Raw genomic sequence first — 14,201 nt, 5'->3', positions numbered from 1 at the left:
CTGATTTTCATTGAGGACAATGGCCCTTGGCCACTTCACTCATAGATAGGGCTGTTCTAAGCCACATGACCTGGTACCTTGGTCAAGATGTTTGGACCACAAAGATAATAAGAAAAGGGTAACAAATCTAAAGTCTTCCCATAACCTAGAAAGGAAACTGGTGTGAAAGTTCATCCCAAACAAACAAAAAAATAACATGCCAACAGTTATAATAATTTGGATTGAATTACAGGGTAAACCTGAGCAGTTGGTAGGGGCAAGTGGAAGTGAAAGCACAGAAGAACAGAAGGCAATGTGCAGACTCCTGCTGTAAAGAAAATACATCTGAAGAAAAGAAAAGGTCAGATGGCTGTGCAAAGAATGAAGAGAAATCTGATGGATCAAAGCTAAATGAAAATGTGTCCAATGGGTCTTCTTTCTCAACTTTCTTCACTTCTTTCCTACATACCATGAGGTCATATTTTGGGTGGTAAAATTGCTTCTGCTTTTTAAGCTACACATATTAAGTAAAGTAGTTCGATATACCATGGGCTAATGATGAGAACTCAAAAATCCTCTTTAGAAAATTGACAATTTGTTTATTTCCATTGCTACTGTTAATCGTACAAGGAAACGACACAATCTTCTTTGAATATTTCTGAATGGTTAAAAATTTAAAATAAGATGCATTGTATATACTCACTTTTCTATGACTGTGCCTATATCCTACACAGTAAAAAGATTATGTTTGCCCAAAATTGAATTATTGTGCCCACATTAAAATTATAATGTTTTTGAGGGTCTCATTAAACTATTCCTACAATGTTGTTGGTTGTTCAAAATCAAGTATAAATCTATGTTTTTTAATACATATGTGGCTACTGGCTCCTCTGTCCAACTGCTGATTCTTGCACAGTGAACTGAATTTACTTCATAGGTATTTATTGAGCACTCATATGTGTAAGGTACTCTGCTATGTGCTTGGAGTTTTTTCCAATCTTTTACAATATTAAGAATCACTCAGAACATTTGTTTAAAAAAATAACTGAGGTCCAATCTAAATTCCTGAATCAGAATTTCCACGTAACAAGGGCTCCACATTATTCTTAGCCCCGAGGAAGTTGGAGATAACTGTGGTAGAAGACAGAAAGATGAGCAAAGCTCAGCCCCTATAGTCCAGTAATTCAAGAGTTGAGAGACACTCTTAACAATGGATAGATCGTTTAAACAGAAAATCAGCAAAGAAACATCATACCTAAACTGCACACTAGACCAAACAGACCTAACAGACATTTACAGAATGTTCCATTTAACAGCTGCAGAATACACATTCTTCTCAACTACACATGGAACACTCCCAGTATAGAGCATATGTTGGACAACAAAACAAATCTTAACAAATTTAAGAAGATAGAGATCATATCAAGTATCTTTTCTGAACTCAATGGTATAAAGCTAGAAATCAATAACAAAAAGAACTTTGGAAACTTAAAAAATACATGGAAATTGGAATAACCAATGGGTCAATGAAGAAATTAAAAGGAAAATGAAAAAATTTCTGGAGAGAAACAAGAATGGAAACACAATATACCAAGACCTATGGAATTCAACAGAAGCAGTTCTAGGAGTTCATAGCAATAAATGGCTACCTCAGAAAAAGAAAGATTTCTAATAATCTAACATTGCTACTCAAGGGACTAAAAAAATAAGGACAAACTAAACCCAAAATTGGTAGAAGGAAGGTTATAATAAAAATCAGAGCAGAAATAAATGAAATAAAGAATACAGAAACAATGCAAAAGATCAATGAAATGAAAAGTTGGTTTTTTGAAAAGATAAACAAAATAAACAAATCCTTATTAAATAAGACAACAGAAAGAATACTCAAAATCAGAGATGAGAAAAGAGACATAACAACTGACACCAGAGAAATACAAACGATCATATGAGACAATTATGAATAATTATGTCAAAACTTGATAGTCCAGAAAAAAAAATAAATTCCTGGACACATACAATCTATTAAGATTGACTTATGAAGAAAAAGAAAGTCCGAACAGGCCAATAACAAGTGAGGAAATATAATCAGTAATGAAAATTATCTCTAAAAAAAATACAGATAAAATACAGATAAAAATTTTTTTATCTCTAAAAAATAAACAGAAACAAAAAACAAAAAATACCACCTCAGAACCTGATGGCTTTACTGCTGAATTCTACCAAACATTTAAGGAAAAACAAATTCCAATACTTCTCAAAGTATTCACAAAAAATTAAAGAAAAGGTAATACTCTTTCTGTGAGGCCAGTATTTCCTAATACCAAAACCACAGAAGGACACAACAAAAAAGAGAACTACAGGCCAATGTCTCTGATGAACATAGATGCAAATTCCTCAACAAAATACTAGCAAACCAAATTCAACTGTACATTAAAAAGATCATCAATTATGATCAAGTGAGATTCATCACAGGGATGCGAGGATGATTTAACACGCACAAATCAATAAATGTGATTTGTCACATTAACAGAAAGAAGAACAAAGACCATATGATAATTTCAATAGACAGGAAAAGCGTTTGACAAAATTTCACATCCCTCCAAAATAAACAACCTTTAACAAATTTGATATACAAGGTACATACCTCAATTATATGGTTTGGATCTGTGTCTCCATCCAAATCTCATGTTGAATTGCAATACCCAGTGTTGGAGTTGGGGCCTGGTCAGAGGTGATTTGATCATGGGGATGGATCCCTAAGGAATGGTTTAGAACCATCCCCTTGGTGCTGTCTCCTGACAGAGTTCTCACGAAATCTGGCTGTTTAAAAGTGTGTAGCACCTATCCCCAGACCCTAGTTCTTGCTTCTGCTCCACCATATAAGATGTGCCTCCTTCTTCTTCATCTTCTGTCATGATTTTAGGTTTCCTGAGGCCTCCCAAGAAGTAGAAGCTGCTATACGTCCTATTCAGCCTGCAGAAGCATGAGCCAATTAAACTTCTTTTCTTCAAAAATCACCCAGTCTCAGATATTTCTTTATAGCAGTATGAGAATCGACTAATACACTCAACATAACAAAAGCCATATATGACAAACATATAACTACCAGCATACTAAGTGGGGAAAAATTGAAAGCTTTTCCTCTAAGATGTGGAACAATAAGAATGGCTACTTTCACTACCTATATTTAACCAAGTATTAGAAATCCTGGACAGAGCAATTAGACAAGAGAAAGAAACGGAAAGGAGGAAGTCAAATTATTCCTGTTTGCAGATGACATAATCTTATACATAAAAAAACCCTAAAGAACCCACCAAAAAGCTGTTGGAACTAGTTTTTACACAAATTCAGTAAAGCTACAGGATAAGAAATCAGTACACAAAAGTCAGTAGTGTTTCTACATGTCAATAGTAAATTATCTGAAAAATAAATCAAGAAAACAATTCCATTTACAAGAGCTACCAAAAAAATTATATACCTAGGAATAAATTTAACCAAGGAGGAGAAAAATCTCTATACTGAAATCTGTAAAACATTGATGAAAGAAATTAAAGAGGACACAATAAGTAGAAAGATATCCCACGTTCATAAATTGGAAGAATTAATATTGTTAAAATGTCCATTCTACCCAAAGTAATCTACAGATTCAATGCAACCTCTGTCAAAATACCAATAACATTCTTCACAAAAATAGACAAAACAATCCTAAAATTTCTATGAAACCACAAAAGATGCCAAATAGCCAAGAAGATTTTGAGCAAAATAAAAAAACAAAAACAAAGCTAGAAGTGTGACACTTCTAGACTTCAAAACATATATGTAGTTGTAGTATCCAAAAGAGCATAGTGTTGGCATAAAAATGGACACACACACCAATGGGAGAGAATAGAGAGCTCAGAAATAAATCTATGCATCTCCAGCCAACTAATTGACAAAGATGCTAAGAACACACCTTGGAGAAAGAATAGTCTCTTCAGTAAATGGTAATGAGAAAATTGGACATCCACATACAGAAGAATAAATCTGGACCCTTATCTTTCACCATATACAAAAATCAGATCAAAACAGATGAAAGACTTAAGTGTAAGATCTGAAATTATGAAATTATTTCAAGTAAATATAGGAGAAATGCTTCATAACATTGAATTGGGCAAGGACTTTTTTTAATAAGACCTCAAAAGCACAGGCAACTAAAGCAAAAGTAGACAAATGAGATTACATCAAACTAAAAAGTTCTACACAGCGAAGAAAATAATCAACAAAGTGAAGAAAAAACTCAGAATAGGAGGAAATATTTGCAAACTATTCATCTGACAAAAGACTAATATGAGTTGGAGCTCCAACAACTCATCAGCAAATAAATAAATAATCTGATCAAAAATGGGCAAAAGGCTGTAATAGATAATTCTCAAAAGAAGATATAATAATGGCTGACAGATATATAGAAAAATGCTAACCATCACTAATCGCCAGTGAAATGCAAGTAAAAACCACAATGATATATCACCTTACTTCAGTTAAAATAGATATTATCAAGGAGACAAAAGATAACAAGTGTTGGAGAGGATACAGGGAAAAAAGGGAACCTTTACACATTATTGGTGGGGATGTAAATTAGTACAGCATACTGGAAAACAGCATGGAGGGTCCTTAAAAATTTAAAAATAGAACTACCATATGATTCAGCAATTCCACTACTGGGTATATAAATCACTACATCAAGAAGATATTTGCACTCTCATGTGTATATTGCTGCACTATTCACAATAGTCAAGATATGGAATCAACCTAAATATCCAACAATGGATAAACAGAATAAGAAAATGGGGTATATATACACAATGGAATACTATGCGGCCACAGAAAAAAGAATGAAATCCTGTCATTTATGACAAAATAGATGAACCTGGAGGACTTTATGTTAAGTGATATAAGCCAGACACAGAAAGAAAATACCACATATACTCATTCATATACAGAATCTAAAAATGTTGATCTTATAGATGTAGTAAAGAGTGGTTACCAGAGACTGGGTAGGGTGGTGGGGAGAACGGAATGAGAAGAGGTTGGTCAGCGGGCACAAAGTTATAATTAGATACAAGGAATAAGTTCTGGTGTCCTATTATACAGTAGGATGATTATAGCCAACAAAAAGGTATTGTAGATCTCAAAATAGCTAGAAGAAAGTATTTAATGTTCCCACTACAAAGAAATGATAAATGTTTGAGGTGATGGATATGCTAATTACCCTGATTTGATTATTATACAATGTGTACATGTATTGAAACATCACATTGTACCCCATAAATATGTATAATTATTATGCATTAATTTAAAATAAAAATAATAATTTAAAGAAAACATGGAAGAATGAAATGAGTATATAAGAAGTAATATCAGGCAGAAGAGGAAGAGATCACATATGATGGGGAGAGTGATAGTTATGATGAGAGATATCATAAATGGATTGATAGATTTCATATGGTAGAGACGATGGCATTTCACTAGGCATGTACAGACAACAGCAGGTATGGATGTAGGAAAGTGTGATATGTACTTGAGAAATGGAGAGATGTCCAGCCTAATTTGACTATAATATATGAGTCTGGCATACAGTGGGAAAACAGAACCAATGGAGACAGGGAAGCCTTGAATGCCAAGGTAAAGAGTACCTTTTTATGCAGGTGGTAATGTGATTAAATCTATTCCTTATAAATACTAATCTGCCAGAGGTAATTAGAACAGTTTGAAGTAATTGAAAATGGTTAAGCCAGAAGCCCCAAAAGACATCATTTCAAAGGACCAAAGGACCAGTAATGAAGGATGGTGATGATGAACTAGAAAGACCATTATTTATGTCAGGTCACTGGAAAGATGGCTGTATTTCATCTTCACTGTCCTATTTCTTTAAAAATGCAAATGTATACAATGTTCACTCAACAAATATTTATCAAGCACTTTCGGCATGCCAGAGCCTTTGTAAGGTCCTGGCGTCCCAGCCTTTACCACTTTGCTAATGGGTTAACGTGGCAGACAGAGGCACCAAGGGGAGCAGGGGAAGGGTTAGGAGATTGAAAGCAATTACTCTGTAACATTCTTCTTGTGAATTTACTACATGGGTATTTTCTACACTTGATTTCCAATAAGGAGAATGTCTTAACTCCTTTTGCTGAACATATTAGTCTCAATTCATTGAAGCTGAAAGTTAAGAAAGAAAACTTACCAGACAAAACCTTGGAGAATAAATGCCTGTGTGGTTTGTGGCACTCCTAGACAGTGCTGTACTGTCTTCATCACCAATTTATATGGGATACTGCTTACCTGCTGTGTCCACTTTGGGCCCACATTGTCAAAATTGTGCTTAAATTCCCATGATCAGACACTTTTCTGAACCACATATGAATGGGTTTTTAATCCAGATCTTTAAAAAAAATTTATGAGTTGAGAATTTCTTGAACCCTACTTGTAATGGAAAATATTAAGTGTACTAAAAAGTCTGTATGTGGGGATATAAATATACACAGACACACACATTCACAAAATACAGACACACACGCGGTAATTGCACCTAGTATTCCAACATATTTACATAGATGTAAAGTACCAATCTCTTTGCTAGAGTACTACTAAAGCCCATAGCTTGAAGTATCCCTTAGCTTGAATAAAACAAGATAAGGATGCCATTTTCGTCAGCATTCTCTGCTTCTGTCATTGTGCAAACTTCACCCCTGACCCACCTCTCCATTCCACACTAGCATGTATCCCCACTGACAAATGCACTTCTGCCTAGACTCAGAATTTTCTTTTATCAAAACTAACAGGCTAAGCTAGGCATGTTGGCCTGTGCCTGCAGTCCCAGCTACTCAGGAGGCTCAGGCGGAAGGATCGTCTGAGCCCAGGAGCTCAAGTCCAGCCTAGGCAATACAGTGAAACCTTGTCTCTATACAAATAAATAAATAAATAAATACATACATACATACATACATACATACATACATACATACATACATACATGAGATGGAAAACTGACAGGCTAACTATATGGTGTTCTCAGTATCTGCATCAAACTGTTCAAATTTATCTCCTCCAGACTCAATATCTGCAGATGCTAATAGATTCTGCAAAAAGATCCACTCAAGATGCCTGCTGCAAAATCCTTAGCAGTGTCATCTGTGTTCTCTTCAGGCCCTAGAAGTCACTGTTTCCTAGTTGCCCTGCATCTTGCCAGAAGATGCTCCCTCTCCTGCAGTGGCCAAAGTTAAAAGCAACCCAGTTGAAACCTTGCCAGAGTGTGATGTTTAGTCATTCCTTGTTAACATCTGAATTTGACTTCGAGTTAGGGAAAAGCAATGAAAAGAGTAATCAAAGGGTACCTCATAATTCCATAAGATGGAAGAAAATACTCCTAAAATGCTCCCAATGGATTGTTTCAATACTAGAGTTTTCTTTCCCTTTTTACTTCTCAACATGATTCATATTTTTATTAACAAGCTTTGCAACTTTATAATAAATATATATGTGTTTTTAAATAACTAAATTGTGTCTAATGGGATATATATTGATTTTTGCTTAAATATGTTCGAAGAATACACAAGAAACCAATAATATGGAAGAATACACAAGAAACCAATAATATGATTACCTAAGGAGAAAAGATCTGGGTAGCTAGAAGATGCAGCGGGGCCGGTGGGGGCAGACTTTTTACTGCATACCCTCTTGTGCTTTGAATTTTGAACCATGCAAATGTACTTCCTAGTGGAAAATAAAATTAAAAACTAAGTCAGTTAGAACAGTAGGAAGGTAATAAGGGGAGGATTTATTCATTTATATATGCATTCTGCAGGCATTATTGGCTATATATGCCAGGCATTGTGCTAGGTGTTGGGACACAAAGATGAATAAAGATGCAGCTGATTTCAAGCAGCTCACAGTGACTGAGATTTGGATATGTTTCTTCCACAGCAACTATTTGTATTACTATTTGAAAGCCAGTGAAGAAAAAAAAAAACCTCAGGGAATTTTGTTATCACTGGAGGATCCAGAAATATTTATGCTTTCTTCTCAAAACTAAATTGTGTGCCTAGTTGAAGGCAAGTGGGTCTTGCAAAATTAGGCTGGACCTTTTATAACTAAAGAGGCAGCTGAGATTGTCCTTTAGAGCATGGTTTTAGGAATGAGATGAGATTTGATTTTTACTCTCAACTTTGTTCCTCACTAGCTGTATGACCTTGGGTAAGTTACTTAACATTTCCAAGCCTCATATTGTCTACAGAATGAAGATTCTAATGAACTTACCTCATAAAGTTATTGTGAGAATTAAATTTTAAATGTGTGCAAAGCATTTTTTTATACTTGTTATTATTATCTGGAGAGAAATCCTGGATTCTCAATAATAAAACTTGTCTACTTGAAATCTCTCACAAAGGTTAAAGAAAATACAATTCAATTTCTGCTGGCAGATTCCTCTTAAAGATGCCTATTATTTTTTTCTCCTAAAACTCTTGCTCCCCAAAATGAACATTTGGCTGACAGCTTAGCCAGAATGCAGAGTGGCTCCCAGGGAAAGGGGGCACCTTCCAAAAATCCATGATGAATATCCTTCAGCTATATAACTCCACAGGCTTAAATTCTACTTTGTAGCCAGGGCCTAGGGCATTAACCTTCTTGGCAGTTTCAAGTCACACACTGTGCAGAAATCAATTTCTTTGGGGAAAATATATCATGTATTGAAGCAGGTTAAGATCCATGATTTTTATGTGTATTCTGCATAGGTACTTTATTTTCACATTTTTAAGCTTTACATTAAAATAAGTCCATAGTGCCATGAAATAAAACATTGATAAATTTTACACATACAGAAATAATATATCCATATTATGTAGCAAAATAATAATAAGCAAAGTCAAAAGACAAATAAATTGAGAAAAGTATCTGCCACTTATGTAACATACAAAGCTAATCTTGCTAACATACAAAGAGTTCCCACAAACTGAGAAGGGAAAAAAAATCAATCTAATGGAAAAATAGGCAACAAATCTGAACAGATTGTTCACAAAAAAGGAAATGCAAATAGCCGTTAACATGAAAAGATGAGCAACCTAAATTGATACATCAATTTTTATTTAAGATATTGGCAAAAATATAAATGTTTAGTAATATACCCTGCATGGTGAGAGGTGGGGAAACAGTCACTCATCCATCAGAGGTAGACGGACATGCAAATTTGTGCAGTCCCCATGAAGAGTAATAATTTTCTGGACATGCCATCCCAAAATATGGCATCTTGGTGTTGAATATTTTAAGCTGAATGAATTTGATAAAACAGCAGATGCAGGGAGGTCACTCTGACCTTCCCCCTACCCCTCTCCCCTAAAGCAGGTCATAAGATTCTCATGTGAGAGGTGCCATCCCTCTACCCAAAGGAAAGAAACATCCCTTTCTCCAAAGACAAAGGAACAGAAAGGCCTTTCTACATTTCCCCACTTTATTATCAATAGATCATATTATTTTTTACCTTATCATATTTCTCCACAACTGTCCATTCTTCATCAAGCCTAGCATAAAGATACTCAGGTTTACCTTCTTTGGGTCTTCATATCTTTATGAAAGCTCTAGTGTCTCCTAAAACTTAAATTAAATGAACTTGTATGCTTTTCTCTTGTTAATCTGTCTTTTGTAATAGGGACCTCAGCCATGAACATAAAATGGGTAGGAAAAAAAAAACAGAAAAAAAGTTATTTTTGGTCTCATACAGTATCAATTTGGCAGTATTTGTCAAAACTTAAAATGCATATGTGTTTGATCCAGCAACTTCACTTTTGGAATTTATCCTACAGATGTATTTGTACACCTTCAAAATGATAGATGTACAAGATTATTTATTCACTATTATTTGTAACACAAAAGTTAGAAGCAATGCAAATGTTAAATAAAGAAATTAAGGTACTGTATTTCCATACAATAGAATACTGGGAAGCTGTATGAATGTATAGCTAGACAGAGAGACAGACATTATAATTTTTACCCAGACATGCTGGCTCAGGCCTGTAATTTCAGCTACTCAGGAGGCTGAGGTGGAAGCTCACTTGAGCCCAGGAGTTTGAGGTTACAGGAAGCTATGATTGCACCACTGCACTCCAGCCTGGGTGATGTCTCTACAAACAAACGAACAAGATACATATTACAATTTTAAGAAGGAAAGTTTACATATACTAACATGGAAAAAACTACTCAATATTTACTGTAAGTGAAAACAGCAAAATTTAGTAGTCTTTTTATTTGCTACCTTTTATTTTTTAAATTGACATACAGTAACAATCAGTTGCTTGGATGTGCATACAAAAAGCTCTGAAAGAAAATATATTGCAACTAACCACAGTGATTGGGCAGGCGAGGATGTGAACTTGGCAGAGGGGCAAAAATAGGAGGAGAAAAAAGGCACATACTGTTCCAAAGCTTTTGTTTTTTGGCCTACTTGAATTACCACTTGAATTTTTTTAATTAAAATTAAAAATGTAACTGGAGCTGGAACATGAAGCCCCTTAGAAACCATTGCCCATTTCTTCATGATGAGAACGGTTTTAAGATGAAAGGTTGGAGATTTCAGTTGGACACACTGAGTATCTGAAAAGACCATGTCTGGGGGCCATCGCAGGAACAGGAGAGTGTCATCTGTAGAGAATGTGACTGGGAACGGGGGCTGTGGCATTTCTCAGAAGATTCTGTACCATTCTAAGTGCTTCTTATTAACCTTACAATTTTAGTATCAGAGTGGATTTGACATCAATTCTCTCTTGTGTTTCATGTGAAAAGCCTTTATGTTTGTTTTAATCTTATGGGACTAATTGGGTACACGAGAGACTGCACAGTGTTGTAAGGAATTAAGAATCTGAACTGTGGAGCCTGACAGCCTGGGTCCAAACCTGGCTTCAATTCTTGCTGGCAACATGGCTTTTGGCAAGGACATTACTCCTCTGTGCCTCAGTTTTCCCATATGTGTAACAGGGATCACAACAGCACATCATCCTAAGACTGCTGTGAGGACTGAATTGGCACAGAGCACTCAGGAGAGCCTGTGTCTCAGAGCCACAGTAAGCACTTCCTGTGGCAGAGCAGGTTCTAAGGCCAACACAGAGCTGAGAGCTGGCATGACCTTCAATACTGAAGGGATACACGGTTCTAATTAAGGTGTCTATACACCCTTCTTGTTTTCACAGTGAGCAAAGCATTTGCCAACTGAATAAAGCAATACAATTTGCAGTTGTAATATCCTATTAAAGTAAAACCATTTAATTTTCCTAATGCAATATGGCTTCCTCCATTCTCGTGAGGTCCTCATTGCTCAAGTTTGGAATGGAAGTACAAGAATAGTGATGATTCCAAGAAAGGACTTAACCCATCATCTTTTCATCCACTTGCCTCAGCACACAGGGACTGAATGGGATAACCTAAAACAAGACCAAGGACAACTTCATATTGTGGACCCAGGGGGACCGAAAGTATCCAGTTGTTCAAGGACAAGACACTCAGCCCCTCCATTCCTATCTGTGAATACATGCTGTGGTCTTTGTTCTCAGCACCGTCAGTATTCTGGAGTTGTTAGCACTGCAGATTCTAACGTGTAGGTTAGGAATTGATTTGGCTTTCTGACTATGAAAAAAATAGAACACCTTTTTTTCTAGGGCCTTCCAAAATACGCAAAATCCAGACTCATACTTTCCATTGATTTTAATTATTCTCAAGTGCAATGTCTACAATTTTTACTGTGTTATAATGTTCTATAAGTTATATTATTACATGCAAGTTACAATAAAGCTTGAGCCAAACTATTATATGAAATTACTATAGTAATACCATGAAAAATGATGCACTCATGTGAATAAAGTGACAAATACATCAGAAAAAAAACAAGTCTGAATATCATTTGGAAGTGTACTCTAGCAGCTATGGCATCAAGACACTCTTTAGAGGATAATGTTTCTGGATGAACTCAAGCACTCCATATGCTGCTAATGATACCTAATGGAAGTCATTTAAATGATTCCACATCCTGTTATATATCGAAGTCAATAATCAGTGACTTAATTTGGGAAGCAAGTAAGTAGTTTTAAAATTATTATGTAAAAAGCCGGGAGCGGTGGCTTACACCTATAATCCCACACTTTGGGAGGCTGAGGTGGGTGGATCACCTGAGATCAGGAGTTCAAGACCAGCCTGGTCAACATGGTGAAACCTCGTCTCTACTAAAACTACAAAAATTAGCTGGGTGTGGTGGCACACGCCTGTAATCCCAGTTACTCGGGAGGCTGAGGCAGGAGAATCACTTGAACCCAGGAGGCGGAGGTTGCAGTGAGCCAAGATCGTGTCACTGAACTCCTGCCTGGATGACAGAGTGAAATTCCATCTCAAAAATAAAATAAAATAAAATAAATAATTATGTAAGAAGATACTATGTAGATTAACTTTTCTAGGTTTGCTGATCAATTAAGAGGTCACAATCAAGCAGAGCCTACATTCTTCTAAGTGCTGCAGTGAACCACTTTCCTCATTAATAAAATCCAACAGTCCTAAGTTCAAGCAGGCAGCTGTTGCATTTATCATACTTATATTTACAAATGACTTTAATGACCACATAATGTTGTTATTATCACCTTTTAGAAATGATCCAGAATTTGTTTTCTTTGAACTCCTGTGGGCCCTTGCATTTCAAATGTGGAATATATTTACTGTGTTTCAGCTGAGGGGTAGAAGTACATTTCACCAATTATTTAAAAGTAATGAATATACAATAAGCCAGACATAGAAGCACATTTCTTGCAAGTCCCACTTATCACAATACATTGTCATATGAAAGATTAAGATCCAAAGCTGGGGAAATTGACTAGCTATTGTACTTTCTAATAGTTGCTGGTCAAAATTTTCAAGTAGTTTAGATAAATCCAAATCTTGCAAGTGAATTTATTCTCCATCATAATTCTTGAACCTAAGTGTGTTTTATCGCTCATCTTCACTTCCTTTCCACCCAGCAGCCACCTTTGTTTTCATCTTGTGGATTAAGTCTATGTCAGATGAAATTCTAAGCATCCTGAGAATTTCAACCCTATCATAGTCAATTTCACCAAGAAGCTGGAAATGTACAATAGTGCCTTATGCACATTATCACCACCTCATCCCCTGCACTGACATCTCTAGAGCATGAAACGACATTTCTTCTTTAAATGAAGACAAAGAAACTATGAAGATAAGGGAGCAACCAGCACCCAAAACCTTCTTTCTAAGTCTTAAATAAGTGTGTCTTGTATAGCTTTAAATTATTGTGATGCGCTTTTACACCTACAGTTGAAAAATACAGGTTTATCATAACAAACATTCTAATTCAGGAAGAGAGGAAAGAGGGTTTAAAAGAGTTGTTTGCTTTGAGGAAATAGGAGGTAGTAAGGAAAGAATCACAGAATGCCTACTAGAATTAACAAGATATAAATTTCTTCCAGGGTGAGACTGTCTCGCTTCCCTATTCTTTCTCCTTCCCTTCAGCCCCACAACCACCAGCAGAGTGTTCTCTCATATTTTTTCCATCTGTTCAGACAGCTGTTCAAGGCAGACTATTTTTGGTTTATTGATTTCTTCATAAATTAATCACTGTGCAACAAGAATATATCAGATCAAATTATCCTCTCCATATAGGCTCCTGCGATAGAAAAAAATGTTATATACATGTATACATACACAAATGGGCACACGCACACATGAACAGAGAGCGGGAGAGAGTATATGAATTATTTATGAATATGAATCTGTCGAGGCACTTCAATAATAAAAGTACTTAGACAGTGGTATTCACAAAAGTGTTCATGGCAGTTAGAATGGTTTTGCATATATAGTGTATTTTTTTTAAACATCTATTGTGAGACTTTCTAACTGGATATTTATGTGTCTTTAACCCAACAACATAATTTCTTAGGAAGTTGGTCAGAGTATTATAGTTTTTGCAAAAAAAAAAACTCATTAAAGCTGATTTTTGAAAACCAAGGTACATATGCAATCTGTTTATTCACAATTTAGCAACAGTAGGGACCTTATTTTAAGATTAGCAATTAAGCAGTTACCTTTACTCTAGTCTAAAGCGATTTCTCTGGGGTCTTCCAAAATACTTTATTATTCAAATTTATTATTAGTCTTATTGTTAGAGTTAGAAAAAGAAAGGCTACAAAATAAATGAGCCG

Source organism: Homo sapiens, chromosome 6, assembly GCF_000001405.40.
Source record: "Homo sapiens chromosome 6, GRCh38.p14 Primary Assembly".
Taxonomy (NCBI): domain Eukaryota; kingdom Metazoa; phylum Chordata; class Mammalia; order Primates; family Hominidae; genus Homo; species Homo sapiens.
Note: the sequence above shows the minus strand (reverse complement) of the source record.